Genomic DNA, 22,882 nt, shown 5'->3' on the forward strand with positions numbered 1-22,882 from the left:
ATTCCCTCCTAAACCTGAGAGCTGGCCAGAGCCACACCATCACAGTCATGATCAATATTCCTGGTTGTGTAAGATTCTCCCCCATACTATTTAATATGCTGTTTCTTCCCAACTTACATCACACAAAGCTACCTAAGCTTGGTTTGCTCTTATTTCATTGAGTACCTACTGTGTACTGAGCACTGGGATGGGTGTGTTAAACCTTTTTCTCTCTCTGACTTCTAACCTCCACCTCTCACATGGGACCTCATAGAACTTCTCACTTCTAACCCAATCCTCACAACAACCCACAGAGGGAGACAGCATCCCACTGTTACAGCTGAGGCAATGGAATGCCTTCAGAGAGGGTAAGTAACTTGCCCAAGGTCAACCAGCTACCAAAAAGCAGAACCAAAATTCAAATCCACATTGGCTGACTCCAAAGCCAGGGAAGGTGTGCCTCTTGTCTTCTAACAACACCCAAAGATGATGCCCTCAACTCACGTCCTTGCCTTTATACACCTGTCACCGCTTTCTGGCTACAGGGTTGGGGAATCTCATGACTTTCCTTATTCCCATCTTGAAAGGGTTGGGGCTAAAATGCCATTATGCCGGCATGCCTTGAGTTTGGAGGAGACAGATATTGCCTTAACCACAAACACACAAACACCAGACTCAGCCAGCTCCCCAGTATAACTAAGCCCTTCTCCAGGTAGAGACTGGAAACAAGGCCTGCCAAGGCAGAATCCCATCAGCCATTCCTCATGGGCCGAACACGCCTCCTGCCCCTCGGCTCCTTTCTCAGGGGAATGGCATGAGCCATTAAACAGGGTAACTGAATTCACTTTAGGCTATTTACGGTCTACTCCAGTCTATCCATGTTTCCAGCGAATTGCCTGGGTTATTCTCTCCTACCTGTCCTCTAGCTCTGACGCTTTTGCCAACAGGCAGCCAGAAGAAATAGAAGGCAAGAGGCCAACACCATGGCTTGGGAAATTTTAGGAGCTCCAGTCAGGATGAATATGGAAGCTATTGGTTGATGTGAGGTTTGGGGATGATCTCTATTTTCAAATATTCATAATACCTCTCCCTCAAGCTAGATAACTGCAGATCTCTTTACCTCGTTTTGATCTTCTCATGCTCTGCATTGCACACATAGTGAGGGGTTAATGAATACTCTTAGATGGATGACCGAGGGTGTGTGGCCACTTACAGGGAATCCTGTACAAGGCTCTGTCACAGCCGCTGTCTGCTAACTGTCCCACATGTATCTGTTCTGTTTTTTTGTTGTTGTTGTTTTGTTTTTGTTTTTTTTGATTTTTTTGTTTGTTTGTTTGTTTGTTTGTTTTGAGACAGAGTCTCACTCTGTCGCCAGGCTGGAGTGCAGCGGCGCGATCTCAGCTCACTGTAACCTCTCCCTCCTGGGTTCAAGCAATTCTCCTGTCTCAGCCTCCCAAGTAGCTGGGATTATAGGTGCACGCCACCACACCCAGCTAATTTTTGTATTATTAGTAGAGATGGGGTTTCACCATGTTGGCCAGGATGGTCTCGATCTCCTGACCTCGTGATCCGCCTGCTTCGGCCTCCCAAAGTGCTGTGATTACAGGCGTAAGACACCGCGCCCAGCCTCTGTGCTGTTAATGTCCTCTTACTTCTTTGTCCTCAGTCTGATTGTCTAACAAGTGCAGCTATCCACTCCGAACATTTCAACTGACAGCTGACATCAATACTGGCCATCCTGAGATTTATCTTTTCATATAAGAAAATATTATACTTTGGAGACCAGAGCTTAGAACGAACAAAATTGTTTTCTGGAAGTGCCATTATCACAGATAGAGAGCTGGGGCAGCCTCAGGCTGGTTCTAGCCAAGTTGGAAGAAGGTAAGAGTTAATGGTGTAAGAAAATAGCAAGAAGGCCCGTTGGGCAGGGAAAGTTCTGCGTGGGGCACAGTACTCAGCACCCGCGACCTCAGTGGAAGCAATTTCATTATCTTTTGCTTTCGAGGCCCTCTCCCTCTCTGAGGAGGCTCTCTGCATCTTGGCCTTTGGTGACCTCAGAATTTTCTGGCAGCCACTGGAACCAGGGATCATCTTTTCAGAAATCTGTTTGGCATCGTTCCGTGACTTATCTTTCAGCCCTCATCACAATTATTCATGCTTTGGCAGTATCCTAGCTACAGACACAGTACTCTTTTTGAGCTGATACTGAAGGTTACTCCGTCCCAGCCTATGGAGACGGAAGGCACCCACTCCTCAGGACCCTGACTCCAGGAAGCATGCTCCCTGTGAGGGCAGGTGCTTAAAGGCATCTATTCAGAAGCTGCTCTCAACCTCCAGCCCTTGTGAACAGGCAAATAGGTGAAGATAACACAAAACAGGAACTGGTCCCCAAATCATAGGCAATTTGGCTTTGGAATGCATTCCAAGGCACATTTGCTGTACACTTGTATGCACATTCATCCAAACTCAAATGCTAAACTCTACCAGCTGCCTCTGGACTACATAAAAACCCCAAACCTTTATCTCTTCATTAACGATGGCAAATATTTTCTGGCTTTACCTTTCTTCCCCACTTTAACATCCTGCTTCTATTCTGTGGCCTGCGCTTCCTGCTTTGTATATTTTAGATTACTTTAGACATGACCTCACATCCTGGCCAATTGCACAGTAGCTGCTAATTGCTAGAGCTCTGCTAATGGCCCGTACATCGATGAAGAATGAGTTACAAGCAGCAAAATCCAGAAGACAATAAGCTAGTGTGGTTTAGAGCTGGGGCTCTGGAGGGAGACAGATTTGGGTTTCAATCTCAGACTGTATGGCCTGGGGCAACTAACTTAACCTCTCTGAGTCTCTGTTATCTCATCTAAATGGAGATTATAGTAGCTCCTACCTCAGAGGGCTGTTGCTAAGATAAATACTGGATAATGCCTATAAACGATTTAGCACAATGTATAGCACAATGTAAGCTATCGTTATTACCATGTAGGCTTTCAAATTATGAAAGACCTTTCCTCCTCTAGAGTCTACATATTCCTGGGATCCTGCCCAGCTATTCTGCTCCATCTCTACCCTGCACCTGCCCAGCCCCATCCCCCTGACCAACCACTTCCTCCAGGTAGCATTCCTTGATTGAGCAAAATGCACACAATTATACATTTGCGTTTTCTCTCTATTGTTTTATGTTTTTCAAGTGTTTCATATGGATATTTACATTTTCCCCAATTCTCACACCAAGCTTCTCCAAGATCAAGAAGCCTTGCCTTCAGTAGTATCTTGGGTAGTGTAGACCCAAGAGCAACATCCCTAGTAAACGGCTAGATCTTCAGAACAAAATGTGGAGACTACCTTTTAAGTCGGCCTTTTGTGTCCTTTGCAAAATGGCTCTCTTGTTTATCAAAGTCTGTCTTGTACAGTAAGCGTATCAGAAGTCCATCTGAAGGAAGCATACAAAGGCAGGAAGCACTGACATTTCCCCCCACCATGAGGTCCCCAAATCCATTCCTTCCCCATCTGCCAAGACATTCATCCATGCTCTAGTTATTTTCCACATCACAGTATTTTCTAAAATTACTCTTTCCGGAGCCCTTCCTCACTCCTTCACTATCTCACTTGAGTCTATCCATGGCATCATTTTTCCCTCTGTTCTCTTAATCCCCCTTGGTGTACACAGAACTTTCACAGGAATACTTGCTCCATCATTATCTGTCTCTGTTTCCAGAGTCCACTTAGGCCCTTAGGCTTTGCTCTCCTGACTCTGACTTCCTGAACTGTCCAGAAGTAGTCCCCCTCCTTGCCAGGTCTTGAGATGTCCACGTGGAACTTTTCGGCCCGGCCCATTTGTATATGAATGTTTCACGCAACACTCTACTACATCACTTCTGCTTCTGTGGGTAGCCAGCAGGGCCCTGTGTACAGGGATCATCTGTTTAAACTGAAATCTTGTCATTTGTTATGGCAGTTTTATTTATGAGCCTGTGTGTTGTAACCTTGTGGCATAAATATTAAATAATAATATCTCTTGGGCAAAAAAATATCATTCATGTTAACTGACAACTTCTTATGAAAATATGAAGTAAGCCCAACCACACAATTTGATATTGGCTAATTCTGAAATATGAGTAAAAGCACGGATTGCTCAACAGGTAGATGCACAGGCAGAATTATAATTTGCATTTTTACACCTTCTTGCTTCAAGAAATGAAACATTCAAGAAGTAAAAAACGTTAAAAGAAACGGGCTGAGTGGCAAATTTCTTCAGAATCAAATTCTAATTTCTGCCAGTATCTCCTAAGCAGTTTTTAGCTTCCAAAAAGAAAGACTCCAAATAATGACAATGCCACATAAGTGAAATGAATTCTGGACAATGACACTGCTCTTTTTTTTTTTTTTTTTGGCATTCTGTGAATTTCCTATTACATCAGTTTCATGATTCAGCATTTTCCATTTCATTTATTTACAGTAATATATGGCGAGATAACCCAAGGTTTCTGCAGGATTGTGGAACATAAGTTACTCTGGGCAGGAAGGGTGTCGCCTTCTGTAAATTTACTATTGTTTAGGAGAACTCAAAACAGAAGCAAGCAAGCCCTCAAAGGAACTGAGAAAATTTCTCCCCACTTTGTTCTGAGGGGTCTCAGCTACTCTGGTATTTAAAATAAATGGGTTTTGAAAAATAGGTTACTGCCCTTTAGTTGATGACTAAAACAGAAGCCAAGAAGTGTGCAAATTGCAAACTGACATGCATGAGCCAAACATATTCTCTGAAATGACAATGTTCAAGACGCAGCTAAAGTCACCACTCTGGCGGTAAGCGTGTTACAGAGAACTAGATTTCTTTCCGGCATCCGCAACTTGGCTGGAGTGACCAAGGAGGAGTTGAAGAGCGCTGGAGATGCGAGGTGCGTTGGCAGAAAACTGTCCGGGCCGGGAGGACCCGGTGGAAACTAAAAGGAGGGTCGACGCGGGTGGCGGGCGCCGAGAGTAAGAGGCGAAGTTGGGCACGGGAAGGAAAGGAGCTGCGAGAAGATTGAGAGGGAAGCCCAGGAGGGGTGGGGGGTTGGGGGGTGCTGGAGACTGCGCGCGGCGGGGCGGGGAGCGAACTCCGGGCGGCGAGGCTCCCGGGTGGAGTCGAGGACAAGAAGGGGTCTCGAGGGTAACCCGACCCGGGTCTAGAGAGAGTCCAGGAGGGAAAGGAATGAGCACGAGCGAGAGAGCAGCTTGGCAAGTCCGGTCCAAGCGCCCCTCTCCACGCCCGGGGTACCTATCCCAGGTGCCGGGAACGCCCGGGGCGCAGCGACGAGGAAGAGAGAAAACTAGCAGCGGCGTCCCCGCCCCGCGTGGCGGGTGTCCCCGGCCGCCCCCACCCGCGTCCCCGGGGCCCCGCGCGGAGGGGAAGACCCGGGCAGGGTCCGGCGCTCACCAGGTAGCAGAGCAGGAGCAGCGCGCAGGCAGAGCGGCCGCCGAGGCCCTGGGGGACGCCGCCACTCGGGACCATGGCTGCGGCCCGGGGGCCGACCGCGAGCGGCGGGGGTTGCTGCTGCTGCTGCCGCGGCCACCCGAGCCCCGCGCCGCGCCGCTGCATGGCGAGGCCGCCCGGATCCGGGCCGGAACAGGTCACCTGGTGCAGGGACCGGCCCCCGCCCGAGGCGCCACCTTCCCGCCCGCCCCCGGCCGGGCCGGCCGCCGCGCGCGGGGCCACCTGCCGCCACCTCCGGACCCGCCGCCGCCGCCACTGCCGCTCCCGCCGTCGCCGCCCCCGCAGCCCCAGCCGAGCGCCGGCTCCTCCCCGCCTCCCCGTCCCCGTCCCCTCCCTCCCCTCTGCCTCCCTGCCCAGCCCTCCTCCCGGCCGCTCCCTCTGGCCCCCGGGCTTCCACCCCTCGGAGCAGCGGGCGCCCACGCAGGTGGGCACCGACCCGGGTCCCGCCCCTTGGCCGCCGCCACCCCCCGCCCGGGTCGCTGGGCCCCGGCGCACCCCCCTTTCCCTTTCTCTCTGCTCCTCCCCCGCCCCCCTTCCGCGCTCCTGCTCTCTGCGATCCCCCTCCTCTCCCTCCGGCTCCCTCTTCCTTCTCCCCTCGCGCTCCCAAACCCCCTCTCTTTTTCACTTTCTCCTTTTCCTCCCTTTCCTCTTTCTCCCTTCCCATCCTCTTCCTCGCTTCCGCATTCTTCCTCTCCCACCCACCCCTTTTGCGGGTCGCACAGACCAGTTCCCGCCCGTGCAATGGGTTTTTGTCTGGTTGCTTTTTTGGCCGGGGCGCCATTCCCGCAGGGCGCAGGGCGAGTGTGCCCCCTGGAGTTGTGCCGCGCAGCTGCCCGGCTCCCAGGCCTTCAGGATGGATTTTGACCCCTGCCAACCTCCACCTGTCCACCTGCGGGGTTGGGACTGCCTCCTTGCTGGCATGTTTGCAGCCGGGCTGCGCCCCACCCTGCCGGCTGGTTCGCGGCACGTTCTGGATGTTTCCCGAGGGTTTTGTGTGGTGCCGCCGCCACCGCCACCACTGCGCTCTTTGTTTTAATTGTCCAGAGTATTGGCACCCAGGACGGGTTTGTATTTGATTTGCATCCCTGTGCTCCGGCTTCCACTTTGGACTGAGAAAAAAATGAATTAATTAGGTCAATACAGTAATACTGGAGCCCCAAATGAAAGGGGTGAGGCCCTGGAAGTGCGCAAACAGCTTTTTAAAAAACCAGGACACATCCTCGGCCTTGGGGACGCAGGTTGAGACTGGCTGCTCTCCGACCCGGGTTCTGCGGCCTGGCGGGGAGGGGCCTCCGGCCGGCGGGACCACCAGCTCGCCGCCGGCCTTGGCTTTCAGGGAAGCGCTTGGCTGTGTCTAGCGGCTCCGACAACTATCTGGGCCCGCAGCTGCTGCTCTGAAACAGTTAATCCACCTTCCAAAGTTCGCAGAAGCTTCCCTTTAGCACTGGTAGATTTGTGCGGATTGGAACTAATAATAGCCTGGGAGCCTGAGAGGCCACAGCCCTTTCCCTGTGCCACGAGCATAGGTCAAGTCACAACAGACGTCGGGGAGAGGCTGGTGGTGAGACGGGGTGCCCGGGATGGTTTGACGGGCGTGGACGCGCCCTCAGCTGCTTCAGTACAGGCCTGGCCACACCAGGCATGGTGGCTCCTCAGCTGTCGTCCACTTTTTTTTAGGTCACCTAAGAGCTGTGGCCTTGTGTGAGTTCCCTGGCCTTATTCCACCGGTTCTCAAACTTCAGAATTACCTGGAGGGATTGTTAAAACACAGATTCCTGGACTTCAGCCCTAGAATTTCTGACTCAGTTGGTCCTGGGAGGGACTTGAGAATGTACCTTTCTAACAAGCTCCTGGGTGATGTTAACGCGCTGGTTCAAACAGCCCTCCTCCATTTCCAGAACTATTGGCTTTTAGGGAACTGGGCTCCTGCTCCTCCCAGCCAGCTGCCACCACATTAAAGCATTTTGGGGGTTTTGACAGATGCTCCCACTATCTCTGTTCCACTTCTGCAGAAACAAAGCACTTAACATTCTTCTGTGTGACGTGGAAAACATTTATTCTATCGAGTGTCCAAGGGAACAAAAGATTTGGTGGCTTTGTCCCAGATCCTGTCTATATCTTTTCCATCAGGTCAAAATACAGACTATGCTTTTAATGTATATGGAAGGAAAATTGTCGGCCAGTTCAGGGGGAAGGGGCTTCAACAGGCATTGCAGCATTTCTAGGGTTGCCACCTGTCTTCCTGGGCCACGCTCCGGAGTTTCTCTCCTCCCACATTGTACACAGATTCTGTTGGTCTTCGGGGAGCTAAATGGTTCCTCGGGGTTGTTTGTAATCAGGATTCATGGAATTGGGAGTTTTCAAGGCCTTGTGAGCTTTGAGGATTTGGGTTTACCTAAGTGTAGGTAAGCAGAGTGCCCCACTGGAGGCTGGACTGTTTCTAACTTGCCATATCCAACTGCTCACTTCTCCCCTACTCACTCATCTCCTATTGTGTTCCTACTGTGGACTGGGCACCACCTGAGGCCCCAGGATTCCAGAGGTAGGCAGGAAGGCTCTGTTTCTGCAAGGAGCACCAGGCATGCAGAAAACCGGCCAGAGTTTGGTCTTCTAAGAGGGATGTGTGAGTTGCTCTCTCATCCTGAGCTAGAGGTGGTGGGATTAACTGCTTCATCCTGTGTTGGAGAGGGGGAGAGAAAAAGTCAAGATTTCTTTTCACGGGGGAGTGGGACGTTTTGATCCAGAAGACAGAATCAGCTCTTACTTTTGCGTCTCTCCAGCAGTTTGTGTCAGTCATTGAAAGGGCGTGGTCTGATTTCAGAAGAAAGCCCTTTATTTAAAAAGAAATATATCTTCCCATTGTCCCATGGAAGGGCTTGAAATCTCACCATTACAATTCATCAGTTTAAATTAAGTTTTAATACTCCACTAAAAGTCGAAGGCCCCAGGGGGAGATTGGCCTCCCTTATTACTGCCTTGGTGTGAGTCAGTTTATCACATGCCCTTGGAAAGGGACCAATTCCACACCTCAACACGGGAAAGGACAAAGGCACAGAGTCCTGAGCTCATCATGGCCCGCCCCTAGGAGGAGACTTCAGAGGCCTGGAGGGAGGGGCTGGAGAAAGGACTGCATCTGCATGCCTAGGTGGCACATCATAGCATTCCAGGTGAGATGTTCTGAGACTCTGAAATTTTTTTTCTTTTTTTTTTCTTTTTGAGACGGAGTCTCACTGTGTTGCCCAGGCTGGAGTGCAGTGGCGTGATCTCAGCTTACTGCAACCTCCACCCCCTGGGTTTAAGCTATTCTCCTGCCTCAAGCCTCTAGAGTAGCTGGGATTACAGGCACCTGCCACCATGCCCAGCTAATTTTTGTATTTTTAGTAGAGATGGGGGTTTCACCATGTTGGCCAGGTTGGTCTTGAACTCCTGACCTCGTGATCCACCCACCTAGGCGTCCCAAAGTGCTGGGATTACAGGCGTGAGCCACCATGCCTGGCCCAAAATGGTTTAAGATCAGTCACGTCTCGGGGACCAATGCACTTGGTCAACTATTACTTTACCAAGCAAAAATAGTTTTTATAAACCAACTGCATATACTATCTTCTGTCAGTATCATTTCATTAAAAAGACAAGGCCTTTTGCCATCAAAAAATTAGGAAGGGCCTAACATCCTAAGAAAAGACTGGTTTGGGTGCCATGGCTCATACTTGTAATCTCAGCACTTTGGGAGGCCAACACGGGTGGATCACTTGAGCCCAGAAGTTTGTGACCAGCTGGGCAACATGGTGAAACCCTGTCTCTACTAAAAATACAAAAATTAGTCAGGTGTGGTGGTGTGTGCCTGCAGTCCCAGCTACTCAGGAAGCTGAGATGGGAGGATCGCTTGAGCTCAGGAGGTCAAGGCTGTACTGAGGTCTAATCACACCACTGCACTCCAGCCTGGGCGACAGAGTGAGACCTTGTCTTAAAAAAAAAAAAAACAAAAAACAAGCTGTTCTTTAATCTGAATATTTTATTTCCGTCTTGTCTTTATATGTTGCATTTTGCTGTGGATCAGTAAAAACTTACCTTTGGAGTGGCCCTGTCCATGTCGGCAGTTGGTAACCACATTTCTATATACTAAGGATGTCTGGGGCAAAGAGATCTGCCCCTGCGGAGACAAATGACCTCCAGATTACAGGAGGTGGGTAGGAAGGCATTCTGCAGGAGTAGAGAGTGTTCCTTCCATCCACTTACCCTCCCACATAAATCTTTGAGGCCGAGGCAAATGCTGCCAGTTTTAGGGAATCTTCCCTCATGGCCTCAGGTCGAAACGCAATGGGTCGGTTCTCTGTGCCCCCAGCAGGCATTGCCTGTAATCCTAAGTGGCCACTGGCTAACTCTGCCTTATATTGGGTATGTTAGTTGGCCTGTTCTCCTCCAGTAGACTATATGCCCCCCGAAAGCAGGGGTTATTTCTTAACCGTTTCTCTGTACCCCCATGCCTTGTACATAGAACATTTCTGACATATTCACTGAATAAAGTTGAATCCAACATCTTCCTTTTTCATTTTTTCCTCTCCATCTTTCTTCCTCCCTCCCTTCCTTCTTTTCTTTTTTTATTCATTGTTGTCTCCCCAGTCTCTTCCTGTTAGAACATGGTTATTTCCACACTCAGGTTTCTCTGTAATTCTGCAGTCTTCTCCTTTCTTCCCCCTCCCTCTTTCCTGTAATTTCAGTTATTCAGAATGAAGATGAATGAACCGTGACATTTGCCTTTTATATCAAAATAAAAGAGAAGAAAGCAGAAATAGAAGAGAGGAAAGCAAAAATAGAAGATTGCTGTCAGGCAACACACTCCCCATCCCAATAGGAAAACCATGGTCTTTCTTTCTGCCAAAGGTGACCTCTGGGATCTAGACAAATCCTGCATGCCATTGTTTTATGGGCAGTATTTCCATTTTTCTTGTGGCCCCCTAGCCATTACATTCCCTAAATCTATTTCCTGTCTCTGTTTCTCCTTGTTTCAAATCCTCCATGTTTAACAGTTACTTCTTGCTTCTTCCTTCCATAGAACATCCCATCAGATACCAGCCTCATCTCCTCATCCTCAGACCCCATCCTTTGAGCCTCAAATCCCTGACTCTGCAGACTCTTTCCCTATGGGCCACAGAGCCCTTGCCTTGGGAAGTTGTGGTAAAGGAGGAAAAGGAAGCATCTGTGTAAACTGAAAGCTTTTCCGTGTATTTTTATGGGATGCTGAAGGTCTTGGAATCACTCGGTTTGTAGCCCAGGCATGCTCCAAAATGAGCTCTATTTCTGGGCCTGTCAGATGAAATGCTGTTGCTCCTGGTTATTTTTGGCTCTTTGCCCTTCTGAATAGGTGCATATTCAGCTCAATTCTTTCCCCCACCCTGAGCTGGGGGAAAAAGCGGGCAGCTTCCCTTAGCCAAGCCCTCCCCTGTGTCAGGAGCGCTTTCCCCCTTAAGCAGCAGCTACTGACATAAGCTCTCTGGACAGCGCACGACTTATTTGTGCAGTGTCCAGGTGGGCAGCAGGGAAATCCATTCTCTGGCTCTCTTGGGCCATTGAGGGAAAGCTTTGTGAGCTGAACATTTCCAGGCAGGTGCAACCAGATGTCCAGGGCCTCCTTATTCATACCCAGGTCTGCATCCTGCCCCACCGCCATAGTTGCAGAAACTTCTGCCATCCTTGGGGGGTATCAGGATAAGAAGCAGGGATTTCAGGCTCAGCGACCACAGAAGTCCCTGTATACTGGGTGTTTGGGGAAGGAAAGTACACAGGATGCAGAAGATCAAGGGCATGTGTCCATAGATGTAAGGACATCTTGGGGTCCAGGTGCCGTGGCTCACGCCTGTAATCCCTGCATTTTGGGAGGCCGAGGCAGGTTGATCATGAGGTCAGGAGTTTGAGACCAGCCTGGCCAGCATGGTGAAACCCCGTATCTACTAAAAATACAAAAAAATTAGCTGGGAATGGTGGTGTGCACCTGTAGTCCCAGCCACTCCGGAGGCTGAGGCAGGAGCATTGCTTGAACCCGGCAGGCGGAGGTTGCAGTGAGCCGAGATCGTGCCACTGCACTCCAGCCTGGGTGACAGAGCGAGACTCCTGGAAAAAAAGAAAAAGAAAAAGAAGAAAAGATGTAAGCACATCTTCAATCTTTGATCTTTGAGTGAGGGTGTTGAGAAGAACATGTGTTTGAAAAATGAATAAAGCAGAGAGAAGTTAGGGGTGAATGTGCATATCCAGTTGGGACAATGAGTAAGAGAAGAGTGAATGGGCACCGAGGGAGAGAATGTCACTATAAATAATTGAAAAGAGAGTGAGTGCACATGAGAGCTTGGGGAAAGGCAGGTTGTGCCTATAAGTCATAGGCATATTTTATAACTGCATTCTGCAGCTCAAATCGCAATCTTGGGCAGGCATTAACATTGATTTCGGGCTTTTAGTCCACCTGATACTATGTAATATCGAGCACAATGAAACATCATGATCAGCTGGGATGCTTAGTAAAGTCCATATAAAATCAAGAAACACACAGAGAAGAGGCAGCTAGAACGGGGTCCTCTTAGTAGCCACTTACCTCTACAGCTTTTCACGGAGAGGTTTCTTTTTGAGTTCTTATCAAGTATTACTTTGAGGCCTTCATTCATGTAATTCTCTTGGCAACCCGGAGAGGTAGACACTGTTACTACCATCAGCCTCATTTTACAAATGAAGAAACAGAGACGTAGGAAAGATCCCAGGCCCACAGCCAGGAGGTGGCAGAGCCAGTTTGGATTCTGGTAATTTTGCTCAAGGACTAGTGCCCGTGTCACTACACCAAACTTGCTATGAAGGGCCAATGGAGAGGCAACCAGGTGCATGCTGGTGGGGAGGGGTCACATTTGAGTTTTAGGTTTAGGCCTCTGCCAGCACTTCACCAGGTGCTTGAGAACATAGATTTCTATGTCAGACACATTTGTCCAGGGCAACCCACCTCATCATAGCTGGGCTTGCTTGGGAAGATCACTAATCTTCAGTCCTCAGTCTCTGTGTCTGTAAAAATGGGACAAAGTTAATCTACCTGTTTACACAGTGTTGTGAAGGCCAGGTAAGGTAGCATAGTGAGGGTGGTGGTAAATTGTTGAGCCCTAGACAAGAATAAAGCATTGTTTGTGTATTATTCATATTTCCTAACTTCCAAAAAAGGCTCACAAGGAAAGATATAGCTCTTATAAGACCATGAAAAATTTTAAAAAGATTTATAAATACCTGTGGTGATATGTCTCTAATGATGACCCCACTCGTGAACCACATCTCCCATTATGACCCTAAGGGAAGTGTTTCCTCAGTATTTCCCCGGGAAGTCAGCCACCATACAGCTACCAGCATGTTGTGAGAGGGCCCAAGCTATCCACGTGGATGGAGAGAGAGGTGCTCAGCCAGCCTTCAACCATCCAGGTCAGCCCAGCCCAGGTACCAAACATGAATGAGCAAACCATCTTGAACATCTGTCCCGGTTGAGTCTTCAGATGACTCCAACCCTAGCCACCATCCCACTGAAACTGCATGAGAATTTGAAAGCAAGAAGTGCCCAGCTGAGTCCTGTCAGCTCACTGAACCATGGAAGATAAAAATAAATTGTTGTTTTGAGCCAGTAAGTTTGAGGGTAGTTTGTTTATAGCAATAGATAACTGAAACAGTGCCCTGAGTATTTTAACAGGACAGTATAGTTAGCTCTGAGCTTCTTACTATTCAAAGCAAAAAGGGGAGTAGAATGGATTATAGGCATTTATTATCTTGAGATTCTGTGATTTACCTTAATGCAGGGTTCATCCAACTGTCTCTTTGCAGTCACATCAGAATGAAAATTAAACCATCTTCCTTACGTGAGAATTTCTCCTATCTTCACCAAAACTATTTGTGCAAATTCTATAATCCGCCTTGCCAGAGCAAAACAAAGAATTACAGCTATCACTAATAAGAAAACATCCCTTGTATCTGGCCCAAATCTTTCAAAACTCCAGGTCGAGCCCATTTTCTCCTGTTTGGTTCTCAGCACATCCTCTCCTCCTGCCTCATTCCCATCCCAAATTAAGTCGCAAACGGGCTCGGTGACTCCGGGGTCCTTAGCAGTCAGAATTAATGATTAAAATAGAAATGCTGAAAATAGTTGAAACCGAAGCAGATTGGATGATTTATTCAAACCTTCAGGAAAAATTACTATTCAGGCCAGAATTGAAATTTAGACCTGTGGTTCATAACCAATTAGAATGCAACTCTTCCCTGATGCTACCCACTCCCCCACCCCACACAAAAAAGGAAAAAAATATATAAAATTCATGCATGGCTATCCGGGTGTCCCTTAGAACCCACACTCTGGGATGTCAGAAACCATGTCTGTCTTCTGCGTAGTGTGGTGTTTATGCATTACTGGTGCTTATTAAAGCTTTTTTTCATTAACAGCACCTTCACAGTCTGATAATAAAAGACCTAAAAATGAGGGAATCAGTGATTCCCATTCTCTACAGTGTGGCATCAATAAGCAGGCAAGGCTGGTCTCCTAGGACGTCTAAATTGTCACATGGGGTATTTGCGGTCACCTCCCTCACTTGGGACCCACAGTGGGCCCAGGCAACTCTTTGAAGGTAATGAAATTTGTCTTTCATGACTTGACCTCATTTTCTATACTCTTTCTCCCTCATTAGTCTTCACACCCCTAAATTGGGCTTTGGAGGCTTCTATGCTGAGAGTCTGCAGGTAGCCTGATCATTGGGAGACAGGGCCAGACTCAAATCCCAGCTGAGTTCCTTCTCCTACGTTTGCATAAACACTTTCCAGTCATCAAGACATTTCACATTTCAGTTCATGTTTGCAACAGTTCTGTGAAGTAGGCTGTTATGGGTTGAACTGTGTTCCCTAAAAGGATATGTCAGAGTCCTAATCCTCAATACTTGTGAATGTGACTTTATTTGGAAATAGGGTTCATACAGGTGTCATCAAGTTAAGATAAAGTCATAAGGTGGGCCTAACATGGTGGCTTAAGCCTGTAATCCCAACACTTTGGGAGGCTGAGGTGGGTGGATCACTTGAGGTCAGGAGTTCAAGACCAGCCTGACCAACATGGGGAAACCCCGTCTCTACTAAAAATACAAAATTTAGCGGGGTGTGGCGGCACATGCCTGTATCCAGCTACTTGGTAGGCTGAGGCAGGAGAAGCACTTGAACCTGGGAGGCAGAGGTTGCAGTGAGCTGAGATCGTGCCACTGTACTCCATCCAGCCTGGGTGAAAGAGCAAGACTCTGTCTCAGGAAAAAAAGAAAACAAAAAGGCATAAGGTGAACCCTCACGCAATATGACTGGTGTCTTTATAAGAAGATGGAAATTTGGGGCCGGGCACGGTGGCTCATGCCTGTAATCCCAACACTTAGGGAGGCCGAGGCTGGTGTATCACTTGAGGTCAGCAGTTGGAGACCAGCCTGGCCAACGTGGTGAAACCCTGTCTCTACCGAAAATACAAAAATTAGCCAGCATAGTCGCATGTACCTGTAATCCCAGGTACTCAGGAAGCTGAGGCAGGAGAATTGCTTAAACCTGGGAGGCAGAGGTTGCAGTGAGTCAAAATCGTGCCACTTCACTCCAGCCTGGGCGACAAAGTGAGACTGTCTCAAAAAAAAAAAAAAGAAAAGAAAAAAGAAGAAGAAGAAGATGGAAATGTGGACATGGACATAGACACGTACACAGGGTATGACAGTGTGAAGAGCCAGAGAAAAGATGGCCATGGGAGGCAGAGACTGGAGCCAGGATGCCACAAGCCAAGGTGTGCTTGGGGCACCTAGAACCTGGAATAGGCAGCAGGATGCTCCTCTTGAGGTTTCAGAGGGAGCACAGCCTTGCCAGTACCTCGGTGTTGGGCTCCTACCTTCCAGAACTGTGAGACAATAAATTTCCTCATTTCAAACTGCCCAGCGTGCGTTCATTTTTCTCAGCAGTCCCAGAAAACGAATACATAGATAGTTGTTATTTTCCCGTCCTTTTCCATCTAATGTTATTGGGCCCTTATTGGGTTCCAGGCTCTATGCTGAACTCTGCAGCCTAGACCCAAGGCTACAGGCTGATATAAAGCAATTCAAAGTTCCCGAGCCTTCTCATGAATTTCCGTGCTCATTCTGTTGTGTCTCAGGCTCCCGCCATCATCCTCATATCTAGGCGCCCCCCCGACCCATCACCATGGTTGTATCTGTGCCCCTTCCCACAACTATCAGAGATACACAGTGCTGGGACAGGAAGTGATGTTGGACATCTGCTGATCTAACGCCCTGGTTTCCTGGTGTGCACACTGAGGTTCAGAGGAGTGGGGCAGCCAGTAGAAAGGCAGCCTTGCACTCAAGTACAGCTTCCCACTCCCTGCCTCTGATCAATGCATGTCATGTGTCAATCCAACAAACAACAAATATTTGTCAATGCATGTTATGTGTCAATCCAACAAACAACAAATATTTGTACTGAATTACTAATGACTGGTAAACACAATATAATGTACCTCGCAGAGGTATTTGAATGTGGAACAACGGCTTAACTCAGAGAAGTGAATGTCTAATAGTGGAACGTGGTGCTGCAGGTGGGGTGGGCATGGCAGGGCAGGAAGATTTGAGAGCAAGTGTAGGGTCTTTAGCTGACCGTTTATCTCATATCCCTAGAGCGACTTCTGTGTCTGCTAAGTATAGGACTGGCTACCCTGGAGAATTGTGGAAGTGGGCCAAGGAGGAGCTTGCCCCCTTCTGTACTTTGAGAGGCCATGCGGGCTCTCTCAAAGTACAGGTGGCCAATGGCTTCCTGGATGCAGAAGGAAGCACTGGCCTCATTATATGCAGGTTTCACGACTGCTGTTTTAAACTCCAATACTGCTGAACCATTCAGAAATAGATCCATTATAGGTCTGCTTTAGCCCCAGGGCTTTCACACAGGTCACTAGAAAATCCAAGATTGCACAGTAATTCAAACTCTTAGGAAGGAAAAAACAAATTCTCTTCAGCGCTTCCTCCCTCCCCTCCCAGCTCCTGGCCTAAAAGGAAGCACCTCTTCATTTCTGTAGTGCTTTGGAATAAGTAGCTCTTACATTGAACTTGAAATCTAAATTTTTCTTCAGCTATTAATTGATAAGAGCAGCTCATTTTACTTCTCATGCTCTGAAGTAAGATTACAGTGTAAATAAACTGGGTCAGGTTTAGCAGGATGGACGTGAACTGTTCTCTAATTCCCCTTAATCTCCGGTAAAGGAATAACTAGGATTTGGACATCAACATTCAATAAGCAATTATGCTGCTCCTTCATACTCGATCTAAATTAGTCCACGTTTCCCTCAAAGAGAATCCAACGAACCTCCAAACCCGGCTCTTAAATTGCAATCTCTTTGTATTGTTCTGGCTGATGAGAGACGAGTCGGCATTGTGGGAGGGGTTTGATTTGATTTATATTAATTTTTAAACTATCTGGGATCTCTCGTTTTACTTGAAACAGATCAGGGAAAAGGGGTCGGTAAACAAGGGTTTCATCTACTGCTGATAACCACACCACGCTCAGCATTTCATGAGCCTGGCTTCTCATTTTCTTAGCACATTAGAATCATTATCTAATTATTAATCTCACCCTAGAGTTCCTAGGAGCTTATGATGCCTGTTGAAGTTAATGAAGGCTTTTACCTATAGATCTGGCGTTAAATCATTGTGATTGCCTGAGTGCCCACAATATGGTAGGCACTGACAGGGCTGACAGAAAGGAAAGAGAATTAAGCAGAAGGAAAATAAGGAGGGGAAGAGGGAGAAGTCACTGGAAAGAAGGAGGGGCAAGATACCAAATCTAGATAGTAACTTCAAAACACCTCATTAGGAAAATGGGGCAGTTAAAGAAGAACTCACCAACTAATCTGCTTAAACTTTAATTAATAATTCATTTATATATATTTATGTGGCACGCTTTCTCTAGGGAACCCAATGTGCTTAGCAAACATTTTAAATAATTAACTCTCTCATATCTGAGTGAAGTGGAGAGGCAGCAGAGTTACTCTATAACTCGTTAAGCAGATTGGCAGGTGACAACTAGATGTCTTGCTTGGGAGAGGAGAGACCGACCATCTGTAACTTACCTGATGCCACAAGCAAATGATCTCTCTGGGGGCCTAGTACTGTAAGGCTCTGTCTTAGCACCTTCCCAGAAGAAGCAGTTTTTGTTTAGATAGATAGATAATGAGGATACATAGATGGAGATAAATAGGTATGAATGACTGTAGCAATCAAGAATATTTTGAGGGGGGGATGTTATTAGAAGAAAGTCAAACAGGGTACATTTAAAAAAATACTGCCTTCAAGATAAAAGGAAGTATTTCAAATCAGGAATATTGGTTATGGCATTAAATGAAATGAATTTGCAGAGGCCAAATGCCAAATGATGAGACATAACATTTGCTAAGTTGTGTTTAAACACATTTTGAGTTCCTAAATTGTATCCTCAATGTACTGTTGACAGGACACCATTTAAAAAAAAAATACCTTTAACACGAATGGTATAAATATCTCTCCAAAAAGTACAAACGCATCTGCCAAATCAGGGGAAGGTAAAAACCAAACAAAACTTAGGAAATTTAAAAATAAAAAACAAGAAGCGAAAGCGGCACCTGCTCAGATGCAGTGAGCATGGCTTCAGCGTGAGTTAGGGGGTCACGTACTTAAGATTCACACCTTCGTGGCCTACATCCCCTTGGTCAATTACAAGAACAGACTTTTGTTCACCACATCTTAAAACCAGTAAATTGGAATCGCCATACACAGGAGGACAGACACAATCCTTGGAGACATCATGCTAATTAAAACCACAACCTGCATTGCTTGGACACACATAACCTGGCAGCTAATGTTGAGATTTGGTCAACTAGCCTACAGGAAGTTTCAATGCTGGAGAGAGGTTTTTTAAATCTTTTTTTTTTTCCCTTATGAGACTGTCACCCTAGCTGGAATGCAGTAGTGTGATTACAGCTCACTGCAGTCTCGAACTCCTGGGCTCAAGTGATCCTCCCACCTCAGCCTCCTGAGTAGCTAGGACTACAAGCATAGCCACCATACATGGCTTTTTAAAAAAGAAAAGAAAAGAAAAGAAAAAATGTGAAGACAGGATCTCACTATGTTGCTCAGGCTAGTCTCAAACTCCTGGGCTCAAGTGATCCTCCCACCTCAGCCTGCTGAGTATATAGGATGACAGGCACAGCCACCATGCCAGGCTTATCTTTCTAAAATGAAAAACGAACTTACATCAAGACCACTGTCAGGAAAGTATAGAGGGAAGGGTGGTGAGGTGGAAGAGAAGAAACTTTTAAAAAGCAAACGAAACTACTCTGTTGATTCTTAACTCTCCACCTGGATTCCTGACTGCTTTCTATATTTATTTTATTCTACCTTTTTAGGGGAATTTTTTCTCCTTTTTTTTTTAAGATAAGGAACTTGGCATGTGGGGTAGATTGCTTCTAGCCTAGACTCCACAAATTATCAATCAAAGGCCCTTGAGTAAGGGCCCTTCTGAGCTTCTTGACCCTTCTGAGCTGGCTTTATCCATTGAAAATAATGGTAGCGACTTTCAGGATTGTCCTGAGGATTATTTGAAATGGTGGCCGAGAAAGTGCTTTGCAAACGACACAAGTGTGTAGGGTTATTGGTATCAATTTTGGACAGGGATGAAAGTCTTACAGCTTATTGCGCAGACACTTCTGAGAGTCGGGTCTTCATCCGCCTGCCCTCTTCCTGACAGACACCCCATGCTACTGCCACTGGAAAGTTCCCAAATCACACTCCAGTTTAAAAGATGTTGGTCTTATTTTATTACTTTCTTTACCCTTTGGACTAACCCAAGTTTAGCTGGCTAATTTCAACATTAGTCAGGGATCAGTCTTTAGCCTTAATATAAACCAACTGACATTTTCCTGCTTAATCCTCCTGCTTTAAGTAGCACCGAGCCACAAAGACAAAACAAGATCCCTCTCTCTGTGTTCCTTCAGGGGCTGTAGGTAAATTCTCCTTCACAAGACACACATGCAGGCCGCCTGGGGGGACTTTTCTCTAGAGCTTTCTGACCAACTAAGGTTTTCTAACTCCATTCACATTTTTAGTATACGCTATGGTCTGAATGTTTTTGTCCCTTCTCTGCAAAATTCATTTGTTAAAATCCATTCCCCAAAGCGATGGTGTTAGGAGCTGGGCCTTCAGGAGGTGATGAAGTCATGAAGGCTCTGCCCTCATGAGTGGGATTAGTACCCTTATAAAAAGAGTCTCCAGAGAGCTTTCTCCTCCCCTTCCACCATGTGAGGACACAGTGAAAAGGCACCATCTGTGAACCAGGAAGTGGGCCCTCACCGGATACCAAATTTACTGGCACCTTGATCTTGGACTTCCCAGCCTCTAGAACTGGGAAATAAATTTCTGTTGTTTATAAGCCACCCAGTCTATGGTATTTCATTAGAGCAGCCCCAGTGAAGACAGTAGATAGTTTATACTTTCTAATCTAAAATACCAAAAGCTTTTTCAAATCTTGTAAGCCATGGTTTTAGTGATATTTTTAGGTAATATTTTATTATTCTCATCATGAATCTATTCAAAGATTCATATCCTTATCTACATAAAAATATCTATTACATATGTTATCTATAGCTATATGAATTATATCTCTACATCTATCTATATAATGGGTTCAAATTCATTAATACCTAATCTCAACTCACCAGACTTAAATTTATGGTGTTTAGTGTTTCTGTGAAGCATCCTGCATCTCCAATTATATAAAAGAAATATCTGCAGACCTAACCAATTTACCAAAAGAAATAGGCCAAATAGGCCAGACATGGTGGCTCACGCCTGTAATCCCAGCATTTTGGGAGGCCGAGGCGGGTAGATCACAAGGTCAGGAGATTGAGACCCTCCTGGCCAACATGGTGAAACCCCATCTCTACTAAAAATACAAAAATTAGCTGGGCGTGGTGGCACGTGCCTGTAATTCCAGCTACTCAGGAAGCTGAGGCAGGAGAATCGCTTGAACCAGGTAGTCGGAGGTTGCTGTGAGCCGAGATTGCACCAATGCACTCCAGCCTGGTGACAGAGTGAGACTCTGTCTCAAAAATAAAAAAAGAAAAATAATTAGACCAAATACTGGGAAAGACCTGATAGCCTCAAGGTGAAGTCACACTCCTCAAACCATAATGCCGGACCCCCAGTTGCAATCTCATTAAACCTCACCACAGTCTGGTCAGGGATTCAGCGACTGCTTTTAGTTTTATTTTCAGAAAAAAAAGACCGTGAAGATCCAAGGAGATCTGGCCATTTTTCAAGGTCAGACACCTATAGCATGGCAAAAAGGCAGGAAGCTGAGTATCTTCAGCCCACACATTTGCAACAGCCCCAGTTGGATGGTGATTTCTGTCCGAGCAGAAGACACCGGGCAGTTGACCCCTGTCAGAGAGCTTCACTCTCTTGGGAAATTTTGCAAAGCTTTTCCAATTCCTCCAGACTACAGTTAAGCATCCAAATGATTCTATTCTAGCTTTTAATACCTTCCCATCTCCCACCAAAACTGAGGTAGGAGAAATATTTAAAGTCTCAAGAGCACAGGGAGCAAACAACCGTTTCCTTTTTTGTTCCTCTGCAGATGAAGAAATAGCAAAGCTGTTTTTGCATTTCAAACTTTAAATTAAAAAGTTGACTTGCAGAATCCTAAGCTCCACTTTCCTCACTGAATGAAATGAGGTCTGCCCCTCAGCTGGGAGTTTCTAGTGAGGCTGGAATGGAGGCATTTTAATGTACATGCTAGGCTTTTCAATAGTTTGGAAAGCAAAACTGATCTTAGGTCGAAAACCTCTAACCACATGGTACAGAACTTTTTTCTTATTTAAAACAATCCTCGAATTATTGGCAATGCTTGTTTTTATTTCGCAAAACCTTCTATACCAGGTGTACTAATTACGCATCCTCTACACAGTGTTCAAAAGTCGGGGGGATTTTATCCCCCAGGAGACATTTGGCAATGTCTGGAGACACGTTTGGTTGTCACAACTGGGGATGGGGGAGGTGTGTGTTAGTGGCATCTGGTGGATAAACGTCAGGGATGTTGTTCAACATCATACAAGGCACAGGGCAACCCCCACAACCAAGAATGACATGCCCCAAAATGTCACGAGTGCCAAGGTTGAAACCCAGCTCTGTGACGATCACAGTTAATAATAAGGACAGTTTCCTTCCCCCTTCCTACCCCGTGGCCCCCAGTTCTGCCCCTACGAGTTTTATTGCTATCTTAGCATGCTGTGAATTACAATAGCTTGACCCAAAAAGATTTTTTCAGACCTTTTAAATCTCTAAATGTTGAATATCTGGAGTATGAAAATGCTATTATGATGTATTTTATTATTAGAATTATAAATGGAATCAAGAGCATTTACATTTTAAATTTATCTATATTTAATCCTGGTTGTAAATCGAAGGCCCGGCACGCAAAGGTCACACATCACCTCTCAGGAGAGAGATTATGCCAACTTGGTTGGGTGCCTTGTGTTCTATTAAAGTTGAAACCAGGCTTCCCTGTCAGACTGTTACGGCTAAACACACTTGGATCTGCAAGCAGCAAGCACAGGCTGTTCATTGCATGCAGACATGAGAACCGAGCCAGACTACTGGAGTGTGTCCCTCCGCCACCCCAGCATCCTCCCCATTATCCACTCGGGACTGGGAGACCAGCCGGCTAGGCAGCCAACAGCTATTGGGGGACACCTGTAATTGAGTCAAGATGCCAACCAGGGACTCTGTTGAGGCAAGAACAAGAAATTCTAAAACACTTTCCGGTATGCTTCCGAGTATGCTTCCACAACCCACCCCGAAAAACTGGCTCCTTCCCAGTCCTCCACTGATTCTTCCACGTGGGTCCACTTTGCTGTTAGGAAAAGGACAACACTCCATAAGGGCCCACAAGGCCCTGCCCACACCCTTTGCTCTCCCCCATCCTCCCACACTGACCTTCATGCCAGTCCTTGTGTGCATTATGCTTTCCCACCACAGGGCCTTTGCACGAGCTGTTTTCATTTGTTTTCCATTCCCGCCGCCCACTTCACTTAGGTAAGGCACTGGCTCATATACAGATCATCACTTCCTCAGTCATCATTCCTCAAGGACACTTCCCAGACCTCCCTGATAAGGCAAATCCTTCTAATACACATTTCCACTGCACCAACTTGTTTCTTCAGAGCACTCCCACTGATGCACTTTTACAGTTGTGTACTTAATTAAATAATGTCTGGCTATGACATATCATTGTATCCTAAGCACCAAGCACAACACTTGGCATATAGTAGGTACTGGGTACGTATTTGTTGCCTGGCCATTTAATTTTTTTAAATGAACAAGTGAATGAAAGAACAAA

The 22,882-nt window shown here is 46.7% G+C and overlaps 1 protein-coding gene and 2 long non-coding RNA genes across 11 annotated transcripts in view, besides 4 other annotated features; 1 reads left to right on the forward strand and 2 right to left on the reverse strand.

The window, feature by feature from the left end:
* SEL1L3 (SEL1L family member 3) overlaps positions 1 to 6,290 on the reverse strand; it is a 149,603-nt gene extending 143,313 nt beyond the window's left edge. For 4 of the 9 annotated variants that reach the window (XR_007096387.1, XR_001741182.3, NM_001297594.2 and 1 more), the window contains exon 1: positions 6,158 to 6,290. Coding sequence is in view for 3 of the 9 variants with exons in the window: in NM_015187.5 (NP_056002.2) it covers positions 5,399 to 5,560 (162 nt within the window). In the remaining 6 variants the exon portion in view is untranslated. Of the gene's footprint in view, positions 1 to 5,398; positions 5,713 to 6,157 lie in introns of those variants that run through there. The other 5 variants (XR_007096388.1, XR_007096389.1, NM_015187.5 and 2 more) reach the window with 2 other exon arrangements.
* Positions 3,851 to 22,882, forward strand: part of LOC102723733 (uncharacterized) — a 44,562-nt gene continuing 25,530 nt past the window's right edge. Inside the window, exon 1 of the long non-coding RNA XR_427503.5 lies at positions 3,851 to 4,877. This is a non-coding gene — a long non-coding RNA (uncharacterized LOC102723733). The remainder of the gene's footprint in view (positions 4,878 to 22,882) is intronic.
* Positions 4,711 to 5,005: a silencer, noted in NCBI's record as "tiled region #7924; HepG2 Repressive non-DNase unmatched - State 4:PromP, and K562 Repressive non-DNase unmatched - State 1:Tss". NCBI's record gives its function as "represses a minimal TATA promoter and a strong SV40 promoter by Sharpr-MPRA in HepG2 and K562 cells {active_cell/tissue: HepG2 | K562}" and the evidence as "EXISTENCE:reporter gene assay evidence [ECO:0000049][PMID:27701403]".
* Positions 5,276 to 5,735: a silencer, noted in NCBI's record as "silent region_15326". NCBI's record gives its function as "represses an Ori minimal core promoter by ATAC-STARR-seq in GM12878 lymphoblastoid cells {active_cell/tissue: GM12878}" and the evidence as "EXISTENCE:reporter gene assay evidence [ECO:0000049][PMID:35858748]".
* Positions 5,786 to 5,945: a silencer, noted in NCBI's record as "silent region_15327". NCBI's record gives its function as "represses an Ori minimal core promoter by ATAC-STARR-seq in GM12878 lymphoblastoid cells {active_cell/tissue: GM12878}" and the evidence as "EXISTENCE:reporter gene assay evidence [ECO:0000049][PMID:35858748]".
* Positions 7,932 to 12,798, reverse strand: LOC124900688 (uncharacterized). The gene is made up of 3 exons (XR_007058092.1): positions 12,710 to 12,798; positions 12,435 to 12,493; positions 7,932 to 8,130 (listed from the first exon to the last, which is right to left on the reverse strand). It is a non-coding gene; the product is annotated as an uncharacterized LOC124900688 (long non-coding RNA).
* Positions 21,558 to 21,637: an enhancer, noted in NCBI's record as "active region_21380". NCBI's record gives its function as "activates an Ori minimal core promoter by ATAC-STARR-seq in GM12878 lymphoblastoid cells {active_cell/tissue: GM12878}" and the evidence as "EXISTENCE:reporter gene assay evidence [ECO:0000049][PMID:35858748]".

Source organism: Homo sapiens, chromosome 4 (assembly GCF_000001405.40).
Source record: "Homo sapiens chromosome 4, GRCh38.p14 Primary Assembly".
NCBI lineage: Eukaryota > Metazoa > Chordata > Mammalia > Primates > Hominidae > Homo > Homo sapiens.